This window comes from Homo sapiens, chromosome 1 (genome assembly GCF_000001405.40).
Source record: "Homo sapiens chromosome 1, GRCh38.p14 Primary Assembly".
NCBI lineage: Eukaryota > Metazoa > Chordata > Mammalia > Primates > Hominidae > Homo > Homo sapiens.
Window position 1 is genome coordinate 3,820,408 of NC_000001.11, and position 25,730 is coordinate 3,846,137.

The 25,730-nt window shown below is 47.5% G+C and overlaps 1 protein-coding gene across 9 annotated transcripts in view, besides 3 other annotated features; it reads right to left on the reverse strand.

Annotated features, from left to right (window-relative positions):
* Positions 1–25,730, reverse strand: part of CEP104 (centrosomal protein 104) — a 45,126-nt gene that overhangs the window by 8,322 nt on the left and 11,074 nt on the right. For 3 of the 9 annotated variants that reach the window (NM_014704.4, XM_005244815.5, XM_024451101.2), the window contains 16 exons: positions 24,882–24,944; positions 24,500–24,576; positions 19,201–19,369; positions 18,557–18,712; positions 16,885–17,112; positions 16,088–16,285; positions 14,518–14,685; positions 13,455–13,628; positions 10,639–10,815; positions 9,384–9,590; positions 8,859–8,966; positions 6,301–6,337; positions 5,963–6,029; positions 5,351–5,459; positions 3,017–3,155; positions 2,767–2,834 (listed from right to left, as the gene is read on the reverse strand). In NM_014704.4, coding sequence (NP_055519.1) covers positions 2,767–2,834; positions 3,017–3,155; positions 5,351–5,459; positions 5,963–6,029; positions 6,301–6,337; positions 8,859–8,966; positions 9,384–9,590; positions 10,639–10,815; positions 13,455–13,628; positions 14,518–14,685; positions 16,088–16,285; positions 16,885–17,112; positions 18,557–18,712; positions 19,201–19,369; positions 24,500–24,576; positions 24,882–24,944 — 2,145 coding nt within the window. Of the gene's footprint in view, positions 1–2,766; positions 2,835–3,016; positions 3,156–5,350; positions 5,460–5,962; positions 6,030–6,300; positions 6,338–8,472; positions 8,565–8,858; positions 8,967–9,383; positions 9,591–10,638; positions 10,816–13,454; positions 13,629–14,517; positions 14,686–16,087; positions 16,286–16,884; positions 17,113–18,556; positions 18,713–19,200; positions 19,370–24,499; positions 24,577–24,881; positions 24,945–25,730 lie in introns of those variants that run through there. The other 6 variants (XM_047435158.1, XM_024451102.2, XM_047435161.1 and 3 more) reach the window with 4 other exon arrangements.
* Positions 8,911–10,110: an enhancer, noted in NCBI's record as "CDK7 strongly-dependent group 2 enhancer chr1:3745882-3747081 (GRCh37/hg19 assembly coordinates)". NCBI's record gives its function as "activates an origin of replication core promoter dependent on BRD2, BRD4, P300/CBP, MED14 and CDK7 cofactors, with strong dependence on CDK7, by STARR-seq in HCT116 cells {active_cell/tissue: HCT116}" and the evidence as "EXISTENCE:reporter gene assay evidence [ECO:0000049][PMID:35650434]".
* Positions 10,194–11,393: an enhancer, noted in NCBI's record as "BRD4-independent group 4 enhancer chr1:3747165-3748364 (GRCh37/hg19 assembly coordinates)". NCBI's record gives its function as "activates an origin of replication core promoter dependent on BRD2, P300/CBP, MED14 and CDK7 cofactors, and independent of BRD4, by STARR-seq in HCT116 cells {active_cell/tissue: HCT116}" and the evidence as "EXISTENCE:reporter gene assay evidence [ECO:0000049][PMID:35650434]".
* Positions 18,430–18,929: an enhancer, noted in NCBI's record as "H3K27ac hESC enhancer chr1:3755401-3755900 (GRCh37/hg19 assembly coordinates)". NCBI's record gives its function as "activates a minimal SCP1, AML or CMV promoter by ChIP-STARR-seq in primed H9 embryonic stem cells {active_cell/tissue: H9 hESC(primed)}" and the evidence as "EXISTENCE:reporter gene assay evidence [ECO:0000049][PMID:30033119]".

Here is a 25,730-nt window from a genome sequence, read left to right on the forward strand (position 1 = left end):
CTGCTTCTATTGGGTAGAAAAGGGGCAGGATGCCCTGTAGGAAAAGCAGCCCCTGGAGGAAGGCGGATGGAAGCGGGGCAGGACGGCGCCTCTGTCTGGGGTGGAGGAAGGCAGATGGAAGTGGGGCAGGATGGCGGCCTCTGTCCAGGGTTCTTCCAAGATGCCTGATTCTATCGACCCGGAAACATGTCTTCTGTAATTACAGAACTTAATTCTTTAAAGTCCCCTAGAAATGTAATATAAAATGAATGTATTTACAGTTGGTGGCACTGCTAGCCAGGGCTCACCCAAGTCCCTCCAACACAGGGCCACTGGGACCCCCGTCACCAGTGGCAGATGTGGTCAGGACAAGAACTGGGAACAGATCTAATTTCCAGTGGCATCTCCTGCTGGCGGTGCAGGTGCCACTGTGCTGGGGCTGCCGCAGGTGCAGTGGGGGCCAAGGTGAACTGGTCGCCTCCAATACCTGAATTCTGTCTCCTGGGCCTTTGGAAACCGGGGCCCATGGATGTAAGAAAGGAGACACAGATGTTGGGAGAGACAAGGTTAAATAAAGCCTGCAGCTCAGAACGGGAAGGGGAAGTGTGTGTGCATGAGTGATGGAGCTTACTTCCCTTGATTTCTCCTGGCTGTGTCCACTGAGAGTCCAGCCACAGCGAACTACCCAGCAGCAGTGGGCATGAGGCCCCCAGCGCTGTCCTGAGACATCCATTCCTGCTAATGGGAACCAGGCCTCTGTGCCCAGATGGCTGATTCCAGGTCCGGGGAAGGAAGGCACCAAACAGGAGGGAGCTCTCTGAGGCTGCGTGGCTCTCATCCAGGCCTCAGGAGCCCAGCTGAAGAGTCTGCCATAGGCTAGAGCTGGGATAATTCACGCATCACTAAGCATGGTAACTGCTGTGACTGGAACACATTGAATAATTTAAATCCATGGTTCATAACGACACTACAGACAAAACAAAACAAATTAGCTGCCATGGAAGATGCTAGTGACCCAGCTTACTATTCTGAAAACCAGTAAACCAAGGAAAAAAATTAAACCTTCACTCTGCCTTTCCAATAGAAAGTCTAACCTAGGGTCACCACAGAGTGGACGAGCTTCTGCTTAGAGGAATATCCCAGCAGATGAACGAAGGAGGGATGACAGAATGAGGCCCCTCCTGAGTCGGTGGGTTAGGCCTTGAGCCTCAGCAGCTGCCACCGTCACACATATCACGCGCCTCCCGGGGGACACACCAGCATTGCCTGTGAAGCGGCCACACTCACACCGAGCCTGTGCACACCTGATGAGGCCCAGAGATCCCACCTCCTGTTTACAGGAAATACAGGGACAGAGAAACAGGTTAAGCGCCCCCAAGGGAACGTAGTCAGCAGATCCAGACGATGAGAAGCCCTACGGGGCAAACAGCTCCTTCCTTCACCAAGTGAATCATAAGGAAAAAGAACGAGAGAATGAACCTGTTCAAAACAGACCAACCAGGCACCGGGGCCTTCTATGGATCCCGGTAATCAGATGCTTCTGACCTGATGAGATGGCGGCAATGTGACTGACGTCTGGAAGGCTGAGGCTGCTGCTGTGGCTGTGTAAAGAAGTCCCGATTCCGAAAGCTCCGACGGGAACATTTACAGATGCAACAACGTGCTGTCTGGGTTGGCTTCAACATTACAAGAGAGGGGAGCACGTGGGGGCACGGGAGAAACAAGACGGGCTGAGTTGCTAGTTGCGCAAGCTCAGTGACCGTGACAAGGGAGAGTCCTGAGGGTTTCTGTCACTTTTCTGTGTACTCTGTGATGCATTTCAAACTCTGAGAGAGAGAGAGACTGACAGACAGACAGAGGGACAGACAGACAGAGGGACACAGAGAGCCAGATAACTGGGTAGACACCAGCGCTGAGAGCGGCTGGGGGCTGTCTTCTCTGTTTGGTGTGAGTTTTCTGGGGTCAAGAGAAAGCTACAGTGGCTGGGTTGGAGCCATTTTGCTGGTACCATATCCCAGAAGGCTGGGACAAGGGGAGCCAGCAGCAGGACACAGTGACACACTGCAGGTGGCAGGAGCTAAGGAGGTTGGAGTGGAAGTGGCTGAGCCAGATTCCCAAACTGGGTCCTGAGCAGGGCCCCAGGGCTCAGCATTCGCTGCCTGGCATAAAGAGGGCACCGCCAGCCCATCGTGTTGGACAGGGCCAGAATAATTGCCACGGAGCCTTGCACGCCCATGTCCCTCCTCGTCGCCTCCAATGCCAGAGGAGCCGAGCACGTGGGGAAGTGGAGGGTGGGCGTGTACGAGGCGGCCGTCCCCACTTGCCTGCTGAGTCACTGCGTAGTGCACTGGGGCAGGGAGGAGAGCTTGGAATCAGGTAGGAAAGAGAATCGTTTAACCAAATAGGGCTGGGTTTTATTAGGCAAAAGGGACCGCAGTGTTACAGAATCTGGGCAAGATGTCACTGAGGGTCTCATTATCTGGATAAAGGCAATGACCAGAACAAAATAAAACCATTTCATGCTGTATCCCAGTGACACAGGCTGGGCCTCAGTGAGTTGAGGCTCCTCGATAAACCATTCATAAATGTACGGAAGGAAATCATGTGAACACGTAGGTAAACGGAACGACTGCTCAGACAGGGCTCACTAGACGCTGTCCCCTCCCTGAACACTCATGTACTGTACTCTGTGGCTATGGTCCCGCACTGACACCACCACTGTCACCACCACTGCCATCCACAGGTGTGTCACCTACTTCACTGGTCCCTTCTCCCCAGGCCCCTCACCTCTTCTCCAGGGCTGAAGTTCTCATGACACAGGGGACACCGGTTTGCCAGCTTCTCCGGTTTGGCAGCTGAAATGATTTTAAAAAGACTCAGTCGCTCCCTGAATGACAGGCGACAAGACATGCTGCTGGCCTGCCCGCAGGTGCCCTTTAATTCACCAAGCCCTTGCACAGGCTCAAGAGCAGTGGCACTTCCTCCAAGAGGACCCCTGGTGACCCGAGGGCACGGGAGCCTGGGAAGGGGCACTCACGGTTGCAATCCTTGTGTTTTATGTGTCTGGGCAGCTCTTCCTTGAAAACAGCCTCACTGCAACGGTAACACTTTCCAAACCCGTCTTTTTTGTCACATTCCGTCAGCAAGTGCTCCGTCAGACTGGATATCTCGACCACCTGGATTTCGAAATACAGAGCAAAGCATGTTGCTGAGAAAGCGGCAGCGCCCTCCAGCCAGCCTGCAGAGCCTGTGAGCGCCTCCCCTGCCCAGGGAGGTCTGTGCCGCCTGCACATGAAGTAAGCCACAGGCTTCTATCTTCGGCATTTGCCCACAGACTGTCTGGAGTCACTTGTGATACTTTGCTGAAGACCCCACGTCCTTCCTTTCCTGTCATCTTAGCATCGGGCAGGGGCCACTGTCAAGGATGGGGAAGCTACGGTCGGCCTGAGTGTGAAGCTTGGATGAGGGCGCAGAGTGGCTCAGTGGTTACAGTGTGGCCCAAGGTTGAAATTGTGGCTCCCCACTATTTCTAAGAATGCACACAGAAACAGGACCACAGAAAAGAATTTTAAGAGATTCTCTCGCTACGTTGGTGTCTCTGGCAGGAATGACTTGTATATACTCTATAACTTCAGGCCGCAGGACTTGACACACTGTGAGCCAGTTCAACCTCTTTTCTTCATAAATTACCCAGTCTTAGGGATATATATATTTTTTGAGATGGAGTTTCGCTCCTGTTGCCCAGGCTGGAGTGCCATGGTGTGATCTCGGCTCACCGCAACCTCTGCCTCCCGGGTTCAAGTGATTCTCCTGCCTCAGCCTCCCGTGTAGCTGGGATTACAGGCATACACCACCACGCCTGGCTAATTCTGTATTTTTAGTAGAGACGGGGTTTCTCCGTGTTGGTCAGGCTGGTCTTGAACTCCTGACCTCAGGTGATCCGCCCGCCTCAGCCTCCCCAAGTGCTAGGATTACAGGCGTGAGCCACCTGCCCAGCCAGGTATTTCTCTATAGTAATGCAAGAAAGGCCTAATATAGGGGATGGGGAAGACTTGTTACACAGGACACGAATAGCATGAACCATGAAAAAGACTGGCAAGGTGGGCAATGCTAACATTAAAAATGCGTCTCTTCCTCAAGACACTTCAGACAGCGAAGACTGCATGCTGTGGAGTGGGAGCAGATGGTCACAATTCATGCGACTGACCAACCACTCACATCCACGTGTATAAAGAACGGCCCCAAATCAATAAAAACAGATGGACAACCCGAGGGAAACCGGTGAGAAACCAGGTGCTTTGCAGGACAGCCAAGGCCTGCAGACAAAAGGACAGGCACTCCACCTCATCTTCACCAGGGACAGGCACAGGGGGAACTCACCAAGACAGCAGGAAGCATGGCCGCAGTGCCACTGTGGGAAGGGGGCAGTGGCACGGTGGGAAGGGGGCAGTGGCACCGTGGGAAGGGAGGCAGTGGCACCGTGGGAAGGGCGGCAGTGGCACCGTGGGAAGGGGGCAGTGGCACTGTGGGAAGGGGGGCAGTGGCACTGTGGGAAGGGGGCAGTGGCACTGTGGGAAGGGGGACAGTGGCACTGTGGGAAGGGGGCAGTGGCACTGTGGGAAGGGGGCAGTGGCACTGTGGGAAGGGGGGCAGTGGCACTGTGGGAAGGGGGCAGTGGCACTGTGGGAAGGGAGCAGTGGCACTGTGGGAAGGGGGGCAGTGGCACTGTGGGAAGGGGGCAGTGGCACTGTGGGAAGGGGGCAGTGGCACTGTGGGAAGGGGGCAGTGCCTGTGCTGCTGGCAGTGGTGCCCAGGCACAACCCCTTTGGAGCACTCCTGGGCAGCCCCACTGAGCATCAGCACACCTGGCAATCCCACAACACATTGTGAACCCAAGAAAGTGCATTCCTGTGCATCCTGGAAGACACCAGAACGCTGTGGCAACATTGTTTATCATGGTCCCAAACTGGACGCAGCCCTGGCGCACAGCGGAAGGTGGATGAAGGTGCTGTGGTCCATTCAAGCAGTGGACACTATAAAGCAAGAAATCCAACATGACGCCACATGGTTCCGTTTCTACAAAGCTCAAAGAGCAAGGAGGACCCATTTGTGGTGTCAGAAATCAGACCCCTGCTGACTCTGGAAGGAGCCCCGAGGGGAGGTGGCGGCACAGCATGTTTCCGGTTCACTGGGCTGTCTGTCATATGGAATGACTCGCACGCATTTGCGGGTGTGTGCTTGGCTTCAGTTACTTTTCTCGCAACCTCTCCTCTGAAAATACTAAGACTTGGGACAGCTTTTTGACTCGGCCTTTCAACAGCCAGGTGTTCCCGCTCATGCAAGTAGCTGGCTGCTGTGCCGCTGGCCTGACCTGTTTGCAGTGGTCACATCTTGTCAGCATGAGACAGTGCTTCCAGTAGTGGAGATCCAGACCTTCCTCTGTGAAGGATTCACTCCTTTCCCCACAAAAAATACACAAACTGAAAGCAAAGCAAAGCAGGAAATAAAGGTAAGGATCTAGTTCCACTGATGGCCGTTCCGCTCCCACGTCACGAGGAAATTCTGAATTTCCCCAGTCCCTGTGATGTGTGCACTTTCCCTCTCATCTGGAACTGCCTCAGTTTGCTCTGCAGGGCCCGGGCTGGGCCTCCCTTGCAGGTGGCAGAGGAGGCTGGGTGTGCCATGTGTTAAAGCACGATAGGAAAGTCCTCACCAAGGAGGTGCCTGAAATCAACGGGCGAACGATCCTTCTGAAATTTCACTCAGCATCGTCAAGCAGAAAGGATATTTTAAGTTACAATAAACAGAGGGAAAGTTGTCTTGACTGACTCGGAGTGGATGCTGGTTAGTGCAGAAGGCACATTTCCTACCTTTTATGATGACTACGAAGGGCCAACTAGGGAGGACGCATTCCCTTTCCAGGGTTTCTGTGTGGCTGGTTGCCCTGACCATCGTACAATGGGTGGAAGACAGCGCGACTTACTTATCTAGATAGTGCTCATCCGGGATTCCCAGAGCTTCAGCAGGGGCTGCTTTCCCTCCTTGAATGTCTGAAGAGATTAAAACAATTTAAATAACTTTTTATAGAAATTATTTTCAAAATTTTAGTAAGCAGTTTGATGTGAGCTCTAAAACGATTATACAAGTAAAAAGGTAGCATGTTTTCCATTCAGCTGGGAGATGGCTGAGGTGCAGCAGGCGTGCAGTGATACTTGCTGAATGGACAGAAGCCGTTCCCACATGGAGCTTCCATGACATGCATTTACACACCCCGATTCTTTACACACCCCAGTTCTTTGTGCACCCCAATTCTTTACATACCCTGATTCTTTGGCTTCACAGCATCACTTTCTTTTTCCTAAGACACAGAAACAGTGAGGTCAGGGGCAAAGGGCTGCAGTGTGAGTGAGTGAGAGCCTGTTGAAGATATGTTTTCATCACGAAAGCACATTTCTGGGTTTTGTTTTAGAATTTCTACTGGCTGGCAAGGTGGCTCATGCCCGTAATCCCAGCACTTTGGGAGGCCAAGGTGAGTGGTGGATTGCTTGAGCTCAGGAGTTAAGACCAGCCTGGGCAACATGGCAAACAAAACCCTGTCTCTACAAAAAGTACAAAACTTAGCTGGGTGTGGTGGCGTGCCCTGTAGTCCCAGCTACTCAGGAGGCTGGGGAGGGAGGATCACTTGAGCCTGGGAGGTGGAGGCTGCAGTGAGCTGAGATCATGCCACTGCAGTTTCTCTCAAACTCAACCACTGACTGTGGAAAACACATGCAGAAGTGCAATTCTAGTTCCACAGACACCCACCCTGCCCCTAAAAAGAGCACAATTTTGTTCTTATTATCATTATTTTTAGACAGGGTCTCACTCTGTTGCCTAGGTTGGAAGTGGTACAAACACAACTCACTGCAGCTTTGGCCTCCTGGGTGCAAGCCATCCTCCTGCCCCAGCCTCCTGAGTAGCTGGGATTACAGGTGCTCACCACCATGTCTGGCTAAGTTTTTTTTTTAAGTTTTAGTAGAGATGAGGTCTCACTATGTTGCCCAGGCTGGTCTTGAACTTCTGAAATCAAGTGATCCTCCTGCCTCGGCCTCCCAAAGTGCTGCAATTACAGGCATGAGTCACTGCGTCTGGCCGAGAGTATGATTTTAGAACCAGAAAAGGACTTAATATGTAAATTCTGAAAGTTCTGGAGATGGATGGTGGCGATGGTTGCACAACAATGTGAGAGCACTCCATGCCACCACAGTGTGCACTGAAAATGGTAAGATTTACACTCTGTGCATTTTACCCCAACAAAAAAAGAGAAAAATCCATCCCATCCCGTCATTCTCCTGGGAGAGGCCTTCACCAGGCCCTGTGTGGGGCGCAGGTCTGCGCTGGCCTCGAGGCCCCCACAACCCATGGCCCCCAGCACCCCGCAGCACAGACCCACTGCCTGGGTCTTTCTCCCTCGTCTGCTCCTCCCTGGAGCCCCAGCTCCATGAGGGTGGGACTTTGCTTTGCTGCCTGCTGTATTTCCACAGCCAGATGGCGCCTGGCACGGAGAGGCGCTCCATAAACACCGAGCCAATGAGCAAGAGCTGCAGGCTCTCAGGACAGCTGTGTGGAGGCTGTGCAGCCCATCAGCATAGGCGACCCCGGGACAGACAGTGCTGTGTGCCCATGAGCATAGGAGACCCCAGGATGGACAGTGCTGGGAATAGCTCCTGGGCGGCTGCTGCTTCTGGAGCCACTGCCACCAGGTCCTGGGCTGTGGTGAGGGAGGCGGGAGGCAGGCGCCTGGCAATGGGCTTAGTACATGCTAGCTCATGGCTGGAGGGAAATCCCTTCAGTTTGCGACATCCGTGTCCTCGTTTGTGTACTAATCACAATGAGTGTGTGCTGAGCCACTGAGGGTCACTGAGCACACGAGTCATCCACACCACGATGCGGACCTGAGCCAGAGGCTCACTCCTCATCCCAGGGTCTGCCTGCCTCCTTCCGCCTCCTGTGTCCTTTTCTGATTGTGACTCTGACGTTCCAGCATTTGGTGGAAATGTCACGGTGACTTTTTGCCATAGGAAGTTCAGCCTATATTCAGCCACATTTGATCTTTTTTCCCCATTCGTACCCATTTCTTCTTTTAAAAATCTGTGGTAAGAACACTTGACATGAGCTCTGCCCTCTGAATAGCTCTGCGTGCACTGTGCAGCCACGTGGGCTGCAGGCCTGAGGTGCCAGCAGGTCCCAGAACTCATTCACCTGGCACGGCTGAAAACTCAGGTCTGCGGAACGGAAACTCCCTGTGTTCTGCCACCTTTATATCTTTTTTTTAAGGAAATTTTCTTTCAACTGAAGGAAACTTCATCATAAAATTAGTGTTATGAAGCTAATTCATATCCCAGAAGCTGGGAGGCTGAAGAGGAACACATTTATATTCAACCAAATAGTATTTGTTCCCAGTACATATGACACCCCCACAGGCTTAGAGTAAGGGCTCATAGAAACAGAATGTTTACCTGAAACCTTCCCTTTTTAATGCGCTGAAGTCAGACCTTTATAGTCAAGCTGATTTTTCTCCTTTGCCTCTGAAGGTGGCTGGAGAGCTGTGGAGGAGAGCAGCTCTGGGCCCACAGCCCCTGGTCCCTCCCTAAACCTCAGCAGCAGCTCACATCAATTCTGACAGAGGATGGAGGGGCAGGAAGAGTATCTGCCACCCAATTCCACCTCTCCATGGAGGGCTTCTGTCATCCACCCCAAAACTAACCTAAAAAACCAAAAGGAATCAAGACGCTCATTTGCATAATCCCATGAAAAATAAGTCAAGTATGATGTGGATCTATACAGCAAAATACATTTCAGCTAAAAGCACACAGGTGAAAGACGTGTTAACTTCCAACCTGAACTTCAGCCTGAATTTCTTTCAGTGCTGCCAGCTGCCCTTGTAAAGCTTTTATTTCTTCTTTCTTTTGTTTTTCTGCTTCTTCTGTAGCCGCTTTTCTCCGTGCCTGGTAAGAAAATTATTTTTCCATTAGAACAGCTTGTTAGGGTAATCTTAGAAACTGGGAGACAAATTATGGCATATCAACTATATTTCTTATAAATTATAATATTCACTAAGACTAATAACAAGTTAGAATAAGTCTTTTCCATTGATTTCATTGGTGTCTATTGATAGATAAACCCACTGTGTCCTCACGGCTATCGTTATTCCGTTTGCAGCCTGGGAACCTAAGGGTCTCACTGGCAGAAAGTGGAGCAGCCGGGATCTGAATGCGGGAACCTGTGTTCTTTCTTAGCCAGGACGCCGGGGCTTCCCATACATGTGGCTCCTTCAAATGACATATTTACTTATTTACGTACCGAGTAACTGAGTAACTTCTTCAACACAGGATGACATCACAACTTCACCAAAGTTAACTCACCCTCATCTCAGCATCTGTAGCTCTGCCATCTATTTTAGCAAATCCCTCAAAAATTGTTTTGTAGAGAATGTTCCTGCGTGTGTTGCTGTCGTCTGGAGGAAGGTACTCCAGGATGGAAGCCTGGTGCTGTCTGTACATGTCCAAAATAATTCGAACCGCCGTCTCGCGGACCTCATACACTCTATGCTCCAGGGCACTCACTGAAAACTAAAGTTGGGAGGGGCTCTTGTTACTCATTCTTAAAATAAAACTAATTTCTTCCAGCTTACAAAAAAGGTACATTATAAACATGTGAAAAATAAAAGAGAAAACATCCGTATTAAGTATTATGAAATACTTCAAACATAAAACCTCACGGATCTACCGTCTCATCGTAAGCCGTGTTATACTTTCATCACGCTTGTTTTGGATCTTTTTTAAGAAACAGAACGCTGTGGCTATAGTGCAATTTCATCCCTGCTGTGCGTCTCGGGGGCCCACAGTTTCTCATCCTCCTTGGAGGTGTGCGCTCCTGCGTAGCCGATGTGCAGATTTCAGGTTTTTGGATTTGGGATCCAAACCAGTAAGTATAATGGAAGTATTCCAGAATCCGAAAACAATCTGAAATCCTAAACACTTCTGGTCTTAAGCATTCCAGATAAGGGGCTTCAACCTGTACCTGATATTCTCCATCACACTGCTGTTATTGTCTCTTAAAGACAGGCCGGGCGCAGTGGCTCACGCCTGTAATCCCAGCACTTTGGGAGGCTGAGGCGGGCGGATCACGAGGTCAGGAGATCGAGACCATCCTGGCTAACACAGTGAAACCCCGTCTCTACTAAAATACACGAAAAAATTAGCCGGGCATGGTGGTGGGCATCCTGTAGTACCAGCTACTTGGGAGGCTGAGGCAGGAGAATGGCATGAACCCAGGAGGCAGGGCTTGCAGTGAGCCGAGATGGCACCACTGCACCTCCAGCCTGGGCGACAGAACGAGACTCCATCTCAAAAAAAAAAAAAAAAAAAGACAAAGAAATATTTTTTATGATTTGTTTCTCTCCACAGATAAAGATCTGCACACACCATGCACCACCGAGTAGGATTAGACAGCAGGACGCATGTGGGGGCCCCCATTTGTTGGATGAAACACTGGCTATTTTTCTGAAATCACTGCCTCAGTCATTCCTTCAACAAATGCCGATGAGACCCTCGCCACGCTCCAGGCACTGTGGTGAGTGCTGGGCCGCGTGGTGTGTCACACGCGAGGTCTGCTTACCTTCATCACGTTGTCAATGGTGAAGCCCGAGCTGCCAGTGCCCAGGTCTTTCAGCAGCCGGGCCAGGAGGCCCATCTGACTCATTGCCAGGTGAACTGAAGAGTTTGCTTTCAATGGCTGCACCAGGTAGGATGGAATAATTTGGAGAGACTTAACTTCTTTAAACAAGGCCATTTCCTATGAAAGCCAAGGTAATTTGTTAATTTTTACTGGAAAATGCTGGAGGCAGTTTAGTACAATTCAGCATGATCTTAAACTAAACACTGAAGGGAAAAACAGGGAAATACAGATTGATAGTGACAAGGAGCAATGAGAGCACTGATCCGTAAGCTTGTATTTCTATTTAAAGCGTAACAACCATTAGAAATGAAAATCTGAGCCACAGGAAATAAAATCATGAAGAATAAAACGATTTTATGTCTACTGAAAGCTTTTCAGAAGCGTAATTGAAAACTTGAAGGTTTCTGTTCTCAGTATTCTCAGCTTCAAGGAAAAGGTTTTCTCATTTCTAAAATTCTAAAAGAAATTAGAGCTGCTGCTAGAATCACCGTTATTTTAGTATTTATTAAATGTCAGCCAAGAGTGTATGATTCTGCAGTGATACGGTCACCAGTGGGTTAAGATGGAAAAAATGTAAGTACCATTACATATTTGAATGTCTCTAAACAAACAAGTCTTTACGTAATTAAGATATTTATCACTTAATTAACCGGATATAGAGAAAAAAATAAGATGTTGAATCATTAAGTTACAATCAGAAATAAACCTGTTTCCAATAGGTCTGCAGGTCTTATCACCTAAAATAATCTCTTATCGTGCTGGCCTGACTCACTCTGGATTTGGGCCTGTGAGTGACTCTGTACAAATCTAAAAGCTAAGAGAAGAAGAGCATTCTCCAGGGAAGTTTGGACAGTAAACTCCTTAACTACAAACAGATGCTGTTGAGTGTGTATTTCGTCCACTAACCGGCACACTGGTGCACAATTGTAACCCTCGATAGATTGCCTTAAGGTTGTCTCACATAGAGAGAACATTTGAGCACCACCAAACTGCTCAGAAATTAATGTGGCTTAAAAATAATTAAATGAAGCAATAACATGTGCTCATTTGCAACATATCTTTTGAAAGATGAACCCTCCTCACCCCCAAATTCTAGCTGTCATAACCAGGAGTGTATTGTAGCACATTAGGTCGTAACCAGGAGTGTATTGTAACCAGGAGTGTATTGTAACCAGGAGTGTATTGTAACCAGGAGTGTATTGTAGGTCGTAACCAGGAGTGTAGTGTAGGTCGTAACCAGGAGTGTAGTGTAGCACATTAGGTCGTAACCAGGAGTGTAGCGTAGGTCGTGACCAGGAGTGTAGCGTAGGTCCTGACCAGGAGTGTAGCGTAGGTCGTGACCAGGAGTGTAGCGTAGGTCGTGACCAGGAGTGTAGCGTAGGTCGTGACCAGGAGTGTAGTGTAGGTCGTGACCAGGAGTGTAGTGTAGGTCATAACCAGGAGTGTAGTGTAGCACATTAGCATGACAGCATTTCTTCTTACCTTTTTATTAGCATTCCTTTTCCTTATTTACTCTGAAAATTTAGGTTTATTAAATGAAACTAGATCTGTGGTTCCTCATATTTTGGAGAAATGACCCCTTTGGATTCTTCTTTTTGAGACACTGTCTTTCTCTGTCACCCAGGCTAGAGTACAGTGGCGAGATCACGGCTCACTGCAGCCTCAACCACCTGGGCTCAAGCCTCTCGCCTCGGCCTTCCAAGTAGCTGGGACTACAGGGGTGTATCAGCATGCCCGGCTAATTTTTGTATTTTTTGCAGAGATAGAGTCTCACTATGTTGGCCAGGCTGGTCTCAAACTCCTGGGCCCAAATGATCTGCCTGCCTTGGTCTCCCAAAGTGCTGGGATTATGGGCGTGAGCCACCCCGCCTGGCCTGGATTCTTTTTTTTTTTTTTTTAAGATGGAGTCTCACTCTGTTGCCAGGCTGGAGTGCAGTGGCGTGATCTCGGCTCACTGAAAACTCTGCCTCCCGGGTTCGATTCTCCTGCCTCAGCCTCCCAAGTAGCTGGGACGACAGGCACGCACCACCACACCCGGCTAATTTTTGGATTTTTAGTACAGAAGGGGTTTCACCAGGTTGGCTAGGATAGTCTCGATCTCCTAACCTTGTGATCCACCTGCCTGAGCCTCCCAAAGTGCTGGGATTACAGGTGTGAGCCACCGTGCCCAGTCTGGCCTGGATTCTTTTTTAAGAAGGATCTGCACATCACAAAATTTTGTGTAAAACTTAACGTAATTCATAAGCTTCTTAAGCCCAAAGGAGGACTCTTAAGAACTCCTAGACTAGATGAATTCATTAGCTAGTTTAAAGATTTTCAAATTATGGTGCATAACTGTGTGCCCCAAAACTCATACATTTATCTCTATCTCAATATTTCCCATAATATCTAGCCTAGAGGAGGCATATTTGGTGAAAGAATGAAAATATTTCTATTAAGACAGTTATATTTTTTATTTCTTTACCCTCAGATTTTCTCTTTTGATATCATTTTCTGTGTGTTTTTATTTATTTAAAAAATTAATGGCATATGTTGGATAAAAAAAACATTGGAAAAACCCAACTGTAGATTTTAACTGAAGTTTATGTCTAAGACAAAACTGACCTTTTAGAGCATAAGGAAAGTGTGATGGTGAATCCCTGAGAATAATGTTAACTGAGTAGAGACAGAATCTTGTAAAAGGTGTTAAGAAAGCCAGAGAGCTACAGGAATATGTTTATCATCTACGGTTTCAAATGCCGTGGTGAAGTTCAGACCTGAATAAAATTTGCAGCTGTGACGCGGAGGCGGGCAGAAGAATCTCCAGTTCTGGTGAGCAAAACGGGAATGGTCCTCTCCACACAGTGAGCTGTTTCAAGTTTACTCAGTTTATGTTTAGGAATATATTGTGTAATGATCATTTTCAACAATTTCAAAGAAGCCTGAAAAACCTAAGAGAAAAGTGATGAACACGGATGAGTTACTACGGTGCAATTCCACCAAGAGGAAACATGGCATTTACTATCAGTAACACATACGAACATTATATCGAAAATGACATCTCGTCTGAAAGGCTGAAAATTGCAAACTGAAAACTGCTTTCTAAACACAGCACCTTGCATATAGAGGACATATGCTCTTACTTCACTCTGTCAGAAATCACTCCCCATCTTCCCTTCATACCGAGTATCTAACATCCCTGCTTCAATGGGTAAGCCCAAATCTTCCCTTCATACCGAGTATCTAACATCCCTGCTTCAATGGGTAAGCCCAAATCTTCCCTTCATACCGAGTATCTAACAACCCTGCTTCAATGGGTAAGCCCAAATCTTCCCTTCATACCGAGTATCTAACATCCCTGCTTCAATGGGTAAGCCCAAATCTTCCCTTCATACTGAGTATCTAACAGCCCTGCTTCAGTGGGCTGTTAGAAGCCCAACTGTGCAATGTCCATTCTTAAGGCCCATTCAGCATTAGAAAAAACAGTAATTCTCAACCTCATCAGGTTTCATGCAAAGTGAAAACACAAACTGAAGATGTGGTAGCATTGAACTAGGCCTCTACAAACGCCTGGCTTTGCAGACCATGGAAAAGCTAACACTGCTGGAGACCAGAGACAATGACCCAAGCAAAGGCAGATTTCCCAGACCCTTCATGTAAGATCAGTTGCACAGTATAGCTCTTGCTAGAGAACCTCATTTCTTAGTGATTCTATTGAGTTACAGTTGGTGACCACGTCAATGACCAACTGGTCCTCTCTCAAGCTGCTCTGGTCTTCTGTGGTACGGCGCATGATCTCATCCATGCACGCTGGAGCCAGCGCCAGCTGAGGGCACTCACGGAGGTCACAATGTCCTTTATGGCTCTTCTAACGAGAAAGACGGATGCTCTCAGTGTGTTCTTTAAATCTTCTTTTGGGGTTCCAACAGGCATTTCCATTAACTTCTTAGACAAGGCAAGCAGTGCATCCTCTCGGTAGGACCACGTCTTACAATAGGCCTCAGCAACCTACCACAAAACAGGCAGCATTTCATGGCATCACACAACCATCCTCCAACACTACACAACTTGAAGGCTTTGTTTTTTTTTTAACTAAAATGATTCATTTCTAAGAACAGAACTTTTATAAATGAAAATGATTCATTTCTAATAATAGAACTTTTACAAATAAATATGTATATTTAGAGAAATAATTTTCTCTGATAAGGAAATTTAAGACTATGTTAAAATATAAAAAGTATTAAATTCTCCAAGAGAAATATTTTAAAGCTGAGAACGAGGGAAAACCCTACTCATTTCTTTTTATTTTGAGACAAACTCTCACTCTGTCGCCCAGGCTGGAGTGCAGTGGCTCGGCTCACTGCAACCTCTGTCCCCCTGCGGGTTCAAGCAATTCTCCTGCCTCAGTCTTCCAGCTAGCTGGGATTACAGGTGCCTGACACCATGCCCAGCTAATTTTTGTATTTTTAGTAGAGATGGGGTTTCACCATCTTGGCCAGGCTGGTCTTGAACTCCTGACCTCGTGATCCACCCGCCTTGGCCTCCCAAAGTGCTGGGATTATAGGCGTGAGCCACTGCGCCTGGCCAACTCTACTCATTTCTATAAGGAGATACTTCCATCTTTTGCTATGCCATCCTTTTGCGCTGGAATTAGCTGGTATTCAGAAGGGAGCAGTTGTTTAATACAAGCTCCATGAATGCCAGAAGGAAACACCCAGGCTGAAATGAGTACTCACTGATACATCTTAGCTCATGTTTTTGCTGTTTCACATAATTTATAATTTACAGAAGGGCAGGCACGGTGGCTAATGTTTGTAATTCCAGCACTTTGGGAGGCCAAGGCCAGGAGTTCAAGGCTATAGTGAGTTATGATCACGCCACTGTACTCCACCCTGGGTGACAGAGTGACACTCTGTTTCATAAAAAAAAAAAAAAGGCCGGGCGCAGTGGCTCATGCCTGTAATCCCAGCACTTTGGGAGGCCAAGGTGAGTGGATCACAAGATCAGGAGATCGAGACCATCCTGGCTAACGTGGTGAAACTCTATCTCTACTAAAAAAAAATTACAAAAAATTAGCCAGGCGTGGTGGCGGGCACCTGTAGTCTCAGCTACTCAGGAGGCTGAGGTAGGAGAACAGGGTGAAGCCAGGAGGCGGAGCTTGCAGTGAGCGGAGATCTTGCCACTGCACTCCAGCCTGGGTGAAGAGCAAGACTCCGTCTCAAAAAAAAAAAAAAAAAAAGTTAACAAAAGACTTTCCAATTCAGGAAGAACAAAGGGAAGTCAACAATATTACAAATGCAAAGCCGTGGGCGTTTTCCCTCCTTTATGTGTAAGTACACAGAGGTGTGCGTACCATATAGACTAGCCTCCCCTCTGCCACCCCGTTTTTTTTTTTTTTTTTTTTTTTTACCAAGGTTTCTCCCAACACATCGATGGCAGAGCTGGCTTCTCTCAAGGCCTTCTCGGTTAAGGGCTCTGGCTCCCCTAACATGCCTCCCCTCCGAGCATCGCTGATGTCTGCATTACTCATTTCCGGCTCCACCACTGCCTCCCCATAATGCTTACGAATAGCTGGAAGAGGCCGCTCATCGTAGGGCAGGGACTCTGCCTGCAGTGAGTGAAGGAGAGAGGAAAGTGCTGGGGAGCTCCATAGGTCACATTCTCCAGTGCAACTCTCACTGGCAGGCTTACTGCGCTTACTTACCTGATCTGAAAGATGTTATTTTGCTAAATATCAGTATCATCAGATTAGAATAATTTATACAACAAATAGGATGTAATTGAAAAGATTAGATGAGGCTTTCTATTACTTTCTAAACTCATTACAGACCTAATAAAAAAAAGCAAGGTAGATTCCACCTCAATGACTGTTTACTGGTAGCAATTTCAGTTCAACTGACATGGAGACTACTAAAGTAAAGGCTATTACATCTTTTTTTCTGACAAGATCTCTGATATTTTCTTAGTTTATTGCTTAGAAATAAGCATCAAGCCTGATTTTAATAAACATGCTCACAAGGTGTCATTAGGCCTATTCCTTATGTGGCTATGCTCTCACTCAGCACTATGGCTCCTAGAATGGAACAGAGGTGGGTCTGGCTGGGGAGCACTCATGCACCCCATGCATGGGAACAGCACCTGGCACAACACATGTCCTTTACAAATACCCAAATAAATTGAACGCCAATCTGAAACAGAATTACCTACATTGATCTTTGGATGAGGATCTGTGGCAGGGAGTAACGGGTCTACTGCAGAATGCTGAGGAGAAATAGTTAGAGAATATGATGAAGGCTTTTCCTGAAGGAAAGGTTCTGCAAACTGGTTTTCTGTTCCTCTTTCTTCCAGTTGTGGTAGTGAGGGCATTGGCTTTTGGTGGCAAGGACTGCCAGAACGAGCGAGGGGCTGGAGGGGCAAATCAAAAGGTCTTCGCATCTAGAGAACAAAAAGGAACATTTAATTTCAAATGCCACTGCCACGCCAGATATATCTATCTCATTCCTTCAGATGAATAAGACTTTAGAAAGCTGTGCTGGAAGAGGCTCCTTGGCACAATGAAAAATTTCAAAACCAAAGAGAAACTTCCACAGAGTGAAATCTACTTGAAAGTCCCACACAATCAAGTTGCACTCATCTCAGTTGTCTCTCCACATTTCTGTGTTGACTACAAAAGTGACATACACATCCAAAATGCTAGTGAAGGAATGAGCATTTGTGCATGGAGCATGTCCACACATATGTGCCCCTGCAGGAGCACGGTGGTGTGGAGAAAGCACCTGGGCTGGACCCAAGTGGACTTTTATTCAAAATCTGGCACTGCTATTCACTGTGTGTACAAAGGAAAGTGATGTTGTGTCATCCCAACAAGCAAAGCTGACTGACCAGTTGCTGCACACTAGGCATGGTACTGAGTGTTTTGGACAGGTAGGCTCATTAATGCTTACTCTGTTTACCCCCATTTGAAAGCTGATGGAAAACTGAGGCATAAAGCTGATAAGAATTAGTCTGTGATCACAGAGCTGGAATGGTGGTGCCCGGATTTGAACCCAGACAGTCCAGCTCCAGAGTGTGCTCTCTTGTTTTTCAGAGGCAGGGTCTCGCTCCATCACCAAGGCTGGAGTGCAGTGGTGCGATCGTAGCTCACTGCAGCCTCGAACTTCTGGGCCCAAGTGATCCTCCTGTCTCACTCTCCTGAGTAGCTAGGACTACAGGTGTGTGCCACCAGGCCTGGCTATTACTTACTTTTTGTAGAGACAGGGTCTCTCTATGTTGCCCAGGCTGGTCTCGAACTCCTGGGCTCAAACAATCCTCCAGCCTTGGCCTCCCAAAGTGATGGGATTACAGGCGTGAGCCACCATGCCTGGCCTTGAGAGTGTGCACTCTCAATCACTATTCCGTATCTCAGAACCTTCATTTCCTAATCTGTAACGTGGGCTGAGTGCCCCATTTGCATGAGTTCTAAAATCAGAGGCAGAGCACCTTATGGGAAATATGTTCTCAATACACCGAAGCTGTTAGCATTACGTTCTCACTTGATCCTTACAACACTGAGGGGTCAGTGGGGCAGGGTCATCACTGCCTTTTCCAAATAAGGAAGCAGCTGGAGAGATGAAGGGATGCAGCAGAAAAGCAGCAGGGCCTCGGTTTTCCTGACCCCGGTTTGTTCCCTTTCCCACGACTGTGAGTCTCCTGAAAGAACATGCTGAGGCAAAGCCTCCCTGACGTAGGCACAGAGCTGAGGCCATCCATAACTGTCCCCTGAGCACTGCAGAGTGTTTTACACTACACTTCAAAGACATCTATCCACTGTTGTGAACCACACAGTTGAATCTCTGTTCTCCTAGGCTTTCCTCCACTCCGTCTGGGCTCCTGCACCCACCAGCTCGGCATCCAGGAGGCTGTGCAGCTCCAGCTGCTCGTACACCTCGGCACGATACTGCTCCATCTGCTGCTTCTTCTCCTTGGCGAGATCGTAGTCTTCCTTCTCCACGGCACAGCGTTTCTCTACCTCATACCTCCCAAGGCGTTCACCAACCTGAAGCACAAAATATTTGCTTTTTCTTTCAAATTTGGATCAACTCACATCAAATGCAAAGCTAATTTTTAAGAATCACGCGTGAACCGTCTTGCAAGGAGAGGGAGTGAGCACAGGGAAATGGAAGGAATGGGCCACACTCAGCAAAGGTCTGGCTGCTGTTGCTGTATGGGCATTTAATAAGCTCATGGTTTGGTTATGACTTTCAGGATAGCTGGTTTTCCTATTTTCCCATTGGGCTCAGGGTCCTAGTAACGAGGTAGCTGACCCTGACACCTGAACGTGAGTCTGAAGAGGTAAAGCTTCTGCTTCCATTTACATTTTTAAAGTGCTTATCTGTCTCCGTAACTTTATTTTGCTGAGATCTTTGAACTCACACTAACTTCACGGCTTTTAGTAACTGGTTTCTTTTACCATGTAGTTATTCTAAGTATACATAAAACCTATTACAGGCATAAATTAGGAACTGTTTTCTCCAAAGGCAATACCTTTTGCAAATCAGCAATGGCTTGTTTTAGTTTCTTGGCATAATCATAGCGTTCCTTTTGGACAGCTTCCCGTTTTCTTTCATCTAATTTTCGTATGATCTGTGCAACTTCTGGATCTTGGTACATATCAAAAGCTAAGTCATCTAGCGGAGAGATATAGTCAGATTTCCTAAAGGGAAGAAATGCATATTTTAGAGATAATTTCACGCCCTAGGAGTTCAGTGCTGAAGATGCACGGTTGAGAAGATGCCCCTCCCCATCCTGCCCCATCATGGTTCACAGAGCATTTCCTGCATGAGAAAACGGGTCTCAGAGAAGTAATGGGCCTCAGGTCACAAAGCTCTTAATTGCAAGCAGGCCTTTCTGACTCCAAAGCTCACGCTCTTGACCATGGACCAAACTGCACTTCAGGGCATCTGAGCCTCCAGTGCATTCGCTCAGAGTGCAGACTCTGGGCCTCGCCTCGTTATGGGCCCTGGGAATAGGACAGTGAATGTGAATCAACTGCAGAACAAGGAGAAAAACAAAAACAAAGACAAATGGATGACCAGGCCCCACCCTAAGAAATGTGACCAGTGGGCCCAAGATGGAGTCCAGGCGCCGTATTTTATAACAACACAGTATTTTTTTCTTCTTTTCTTTTTTCGGAGGCGGAGTCTCACTCTGTTGCCTAGGCTGGAGTGCAATGGCGCAATCTCGGCTCACTGCAACCTCCACCTCCCGGGTTCAGGCGATTCTCCTGCCTCAGCCTCCTGAGTAGCTAGGATTATAGGTGTGTGGCACCACACCTGGCTAGTTTTTGTATTTTTTAGTATAGACGGGTTTTCATCATGTTGGCCAGGCTGGTCTCAAACTCCTGACCTCAAGTGATCCACCAGTCTCAGCCTCCCAAAGTGTTGGGATTATAGGCCTGAGCCACTGCGCCCAGCCTGTATTTTTTTATTTTTTTCTTTGAGACAGAGTTCTGTTGACCAGGCTGGAGTGCAGTGGCATGATCTTGGGCTCACTGCAACCTCTGCCTCCTGGGTTCAAGCAATTCTCATGCCTCAGCCTCCCAAACAGCTGGGAGTACAGGCGTGAGCCAGCATGCCTGGCTAATTTTTTGTATTTTTAGTAGAGATGGAGTTTCACCATGTTAGCCAGGTTGGTCTGGAACTCCTGACGTCAGATGACCCACCCATCTCGGACTCCCAAAGTGCTGAGATTACAGGTGTGAGCCACTGCACCCAGCCAGCATCACAGTATTTTTGATGAACATGATAGGTTAAGAATTGCTACCACTGAGGTTTTACTCAAAGGGTTAAGTTGTATGGTGTCAACCATCATATCCTAGAGGAGATCAAAAACATTCCTTCAGAAATAAGTGATCTTTTGTAGTCACCTGAATAGCTCATTTCTGATTAAATATGACCTCTATTCCTCCTTTCCAGCTCTACAGTAGGGTCTAGAATGTAAACAGTAAAGTTAGTCTCACCAAGCAACGAGAGGATGAGGATGGAAGTGTCCCAGCTGCTGTATCAACCCCATTAAACAAGCCAGCTGCTTACGGCGACTTGAACACCCTTCGAGACAGGTACGTTTTAATGAAAACACTTGTCGTAAAAGTGTACTTGGTGAATCTGTATTATAATGAATTCAAGTGGGGCATAGGAATAGGCCCCCTTTAAGCACTCACAGCCCCCCTCTGGCATCTCCCCACCCTTGAGGTCACGGTACTTCGCTCACAGCAGCACCACAGGCTGGCGGCTGGGACGGCACCAGCAGCTCTGAACTGTGTCTAATCCCAGGGGTGACTAAACAGCGAAACATTTTGGGGTGTCTACAAGATCACATTAACTATTTTTAGTGTAACACATATGACACTTTAAGTCACGTTGCCTTGCTGTCCCAGAGATGAACACAAAGACTTCATTTGATTATAAAAATCCTTCAAAGTGAACATCATGTCCTGTGGTACCCAGTCCCAGCTCCTGTTGATTCAGCAGCAGCGTGGGGTGCCATCTACCCACTTTGGTACAGAACCCCCAGCGGCAATGACCGGATTCCATGTCCAGCACAGGCCCGCACGTGCCAGTCACACAGCTTTTCCCAGTCCTTGCACTTAACCTTCATAAAACCCCGGGCGTGGGGCAGGACAGGCAAACCACAGCCTGCCATCCCACCTGGCTGATTGGATTAAGGCAACAGATTTAAAGTCTAAATCAAAATAACAGAAAGAAGCTTTATTGGAGATACTGAGAAACTAAAGACTTAATCAGTTTGGTTGTTCCTGCCCTACTGCACTTGCTTCAGTAAGGGCAGAGCCCCAGCTGCGGTCTTTGTGGAGAGGCTGGCAGGAGGGAGGTAGCCATCCACTCTCAGCGCTCCTTCCCCACAGTGCTTCCATCCAATTGCCAGCTTGAAGGATGGGAAGAGTACTGTGATTTTTCTATTACACAAAGGAGGCATCTGAGGGAGAGACTGAGAAGCTGGTGTTATTTTTTTATTTTTATTTTTTGAGACGGAGTCTCGCTCTTGTCGCCCAGGCTGGAGTGCAGTGGTGCGATTTTGGCTCGCTGCAAGCTCCGCCTCACGCCATTCTCCCACCTCAGCCTTCTGAGTAGCTGGGACTACAGGTGCCCGCCACCACGCCCGGCTAATTTTTTGTATTTTTTAGTAGAGACGGGGTTTCACCGTGTTAGCCAGGATGGTCTCGATCTCCTGACCTCGTGATCCGCCCGCCTCGGCCTCCTAAAGTGCTGGGATTACAGGCGTGAGCCACCGCGCCCGGCCTTGGTGTTATTTTTTTATAGACATTACATGAATAGCCTCTACTCTCTGAGCACTCCACACTCACAAGTGCCTGTGACAGCTCTGGTCTGCACCAGGCCTGTGGGGAGGCGGTGTAGCCTCTGCAGGAGGGAAGGCTCGCTGTCCACCAGTGCACATGCTCAGCAAATCGCATGTGGCTCCTGAGCAACTGCAGAGAGAATCTGATCCAGGTTGTGTGCAAATAGAAGAGCCTGGATCAAGAATTAATCACTTTCTGCGAGCAGTCTGTATGCAGGTAAAAGTGAAATTACACCAAACACGGACAAATTTGAAATTTCTATTAAAGTTTAAAAAGTTGATCTTTTCTTTATTGGGAAGCTGCTGTCAGAGAAGAGCCAAGGATTATTTGGAATTCCTCTTTATTTAAAATTTTTTTTGTGCGTGTGTGAGATGGAGTCTTGCTCTGTCCCCCAGACTGTAGTGCAGTGGCATGACCTTGGCTCACTGCAACCTCCACCTCCCAGGTTCAAGGGATTCTCCTGCCTCAGCCTCCCAAGTAGCTGGGACTACAGGTGTGCGCCACCACGCCTGGCTAATTTTTGTGTTTTTATTAGAGAAGGAGTTTTACCATGCTGGCCAGGCTGGTCTTGAATTCCTGACCTCAAGTGATCTGCCCAACTCAGCCTCCCAAAGTGCTGGGATTACAGGCGTGCGACATAACGCTCAGCCTAAAAAACATTTCAATTCCTCTTTTTTTCTCACTGCGGCAACTATGGCAGCCCTTCCCTTCTTTCCTTTAGACCAGGCACCTCTGGAATGGAGTCCCCTCATTGTCATCCACAGCAGGCAGGTGGCAAGGGAACCACTGTCCCAAAGAGGTGCCCAGGACAGAGAGGGTGACCGAGGATGGCACAGCGGGGCCCTTTAGCTCCCCAAAAGTGGATTCACCCCCGGTTCTTACACTGCTAAAAAAAAAAAAAAAGAGGAAGCGGCAACAGCAGCAGAAAAATATGTATAATTTTTTTTTTTTTTTTTTGAGACAGGGTCTCACTCTGTCACCCAGGCTGGAATACAGTGGCATGATCTCGGCTCAAGCGATCTTCCTGCCTCAATTTCCTGAGTAGTTGAGACTACAAGCGTGCACCACCATGCCCAGCTAATTTTTGTATTTTTAGTAGAGATGGGGTTTTGACATGTTCCCCAGGCCGGTTTCAAACTCCTGATCTCAAGCAATCCTCCTGCCTTGGCCTCCCAAAGTGGTGAGATTACAGGCGTTAGCCACCACACCCAGCCTACAATTGTTAACACGACGAACTTTCCCCATACCCATTTTTTTTTTTAGCCAAATTTAGCAGTGAGAAAAAATATTTTTAACGGGTAGAGAGAGATTGGTAAAAATTGTGGTGTGTGTTTTTTTTTTTGAGATGGAGTCTTGCTCTATCGCCCAGGTTGGAGTGCAGTGGCACAATCTCGGCTCACCACAACCTTCACCTCCCGGATTCAAGTCATTCTCCTGCCTCAGCCTCCCAAGTAGCTGGGATTACAGGTGCGCGCCACCACGCCTGGCTAATTTTTGTATTTTGAGTAGAGACAGGATTTCACCATGTTGGCCAGGCTGGTCTTGAACTCCTGACCTCGTGATCCACCCACCTTTGGCCTCCCAAAGTGCTGGGATTACAGGCGTGAGCCACTGCACCCGGCAAAATTGTGTTTTTAAAAACGTATGTGATACATATTTTTCACTCCTCTAAAGAATAAACTTTTGAAGAGGCCATAAGGTGATGTCTCTAGAACTGATAACCTGGGTCCATTAATATCTTTGATTTTTACCATGAATTTGCTTGTGCTGATAAAATATCAAAGGACGGCTGACAGATCTTTGTTCTAAACGCATTTTAGGAAACTTCTAGTGATACCTGAACACAAGAAAGGAAGTAGTCTCTGCTGAGCAATAAATGAAGGTGTGTGGCTGGGCACGGTGGCTCACATCTGTAATCCCATCACTTTGGGAGGCTGAGGCAGGTGGATCACCTGAGGTCAGGCTCAGGAGAATTGCTTGAACGCAGGAAGCAGAGTTTGCAGTGAGCCGAGATCGTGCCACTGCACTCCAGCCTGGCGACAGAGCAAGACTCCATCGAGACCAGCCTGGCCAACCTGATGAAACCCCATCTCTGCTAAAAATACAAAAAATTAGCTGGGCATGATGGCAGGCACCTGTAATCCCAGCTACTCAGGAGACTGAGGCAGGAGAATCCCTTGAACTCAGGAGGTAGAAGTTATAGTGAGCCGAGATTGTGCCATTACACTCCGGCCTGGGCAGCAAGAGTGAAATTCTGTCTCAAAAAAAAAGGAAAAAAATAAATGCAGGTGTGCTAAATAAAACAGCGACCTTAATCTTTATGTAAATTTCAGACAATCCAATCAGTGGCTTATCCAGCTCTAAACTGAATTTAGAGGCTCTAAGTCCAGAATCCTTTGGAAATGACTGACCCTTTCAGGATTCTGAGGAAAGTAAAAGAAGTTCATTGATGGGGAGCAGGACTCTTACCTGGCGTACGTTCCTTCTAGAGCAGGGTCCTCGCTGTTGTGCCCAAGGTAGTGGTCAATCAACTTCTCTCGAGAGGCCTTTGGGGGCAAAACATCTGCTTAGTGTCTCAGAGAGAAAGAGGAACAACACAAAACCTTAACTACAAGATTTATTTCATATAAAGCTGTCAGCAAGGTTCAATGATCCTCATCTTTTGGAGAGACAGCTAAAACTGTTAAAGAAAAGTTTCATATGCTACAGCTCCTAAAAATCATCTGAAAGTTATTCACTAGTCAATTTTATGCAGATTATAAAAATGACACATTTTTTGGGTGAAAATAAATGACTCCCTCCCATTATAAATAGATTTACTTCCTTAGGAATTAAAACTTTCCAAACTTACAGTATTGCTTTCATCACTGAAATCTGCAGGGTCTCCAATGATATTTATGGCAACCAAAGCAACCTAAGAAAGTGTTAAAATAACAGAATTAAATATACAATGTTTGAAATGACTTAACCCTTTTATTTACTTATTTTGAGACAGGGTCTCGTCTGTCACCCAGGCTGGAGTGCAGTGGTGTGATCATGGCTCACTGCAGCCTTGACCTCCCGGGCTCAAGGGATCCTTCACCTTAGCTGCCCTGGTAGCTGGGACTACAGGTGTGAGCCACCATGCCCTGCTAATTTTTGTGTTTTTTTGCAGAGATAGGATTTCACCATGTTGCCCAGGCTGGACTTAACCCCTTTATAACAAACTCTGACCTACACTGTTATCAAATGGGATGATGTATATCAAAGCGTATTAATTGTTAAAATGTTATGCCAATATAAATAATTTTTAATAATTAACAAAGAATTTTAAATAAATTATGTTAGTATTCTAATGCTAACCAAATGGTTATTTTTAACCATTTAAAGCCTGGGCGCGGTGCCTCATGCCTGTAATCCCATCACTATGGGAGGCCAAGGTGGAAGGATCACCTGAAGTCGGGAGTTTGAGACCAGCCTGACCAACATGGAGAAACTCCGTCTCTACTAAAAATACAAAATTAGCCAGGCACATGCCTGTAATCCCAGCTACTCAGGAGGCTGAGGCAGGAGAATTGTTTGAACCTGTGAGACAGAGGTTGCAGTGAGCCGAGATTGCACCACTGCACTCCAGCCTAGGCAACAAGAGTCAAGAGTGAAACTCCGTCTCAAAAAAAAAAAAAAAAAAAAAAGTTCAAATCATAATAGCTAAAAACTCCCA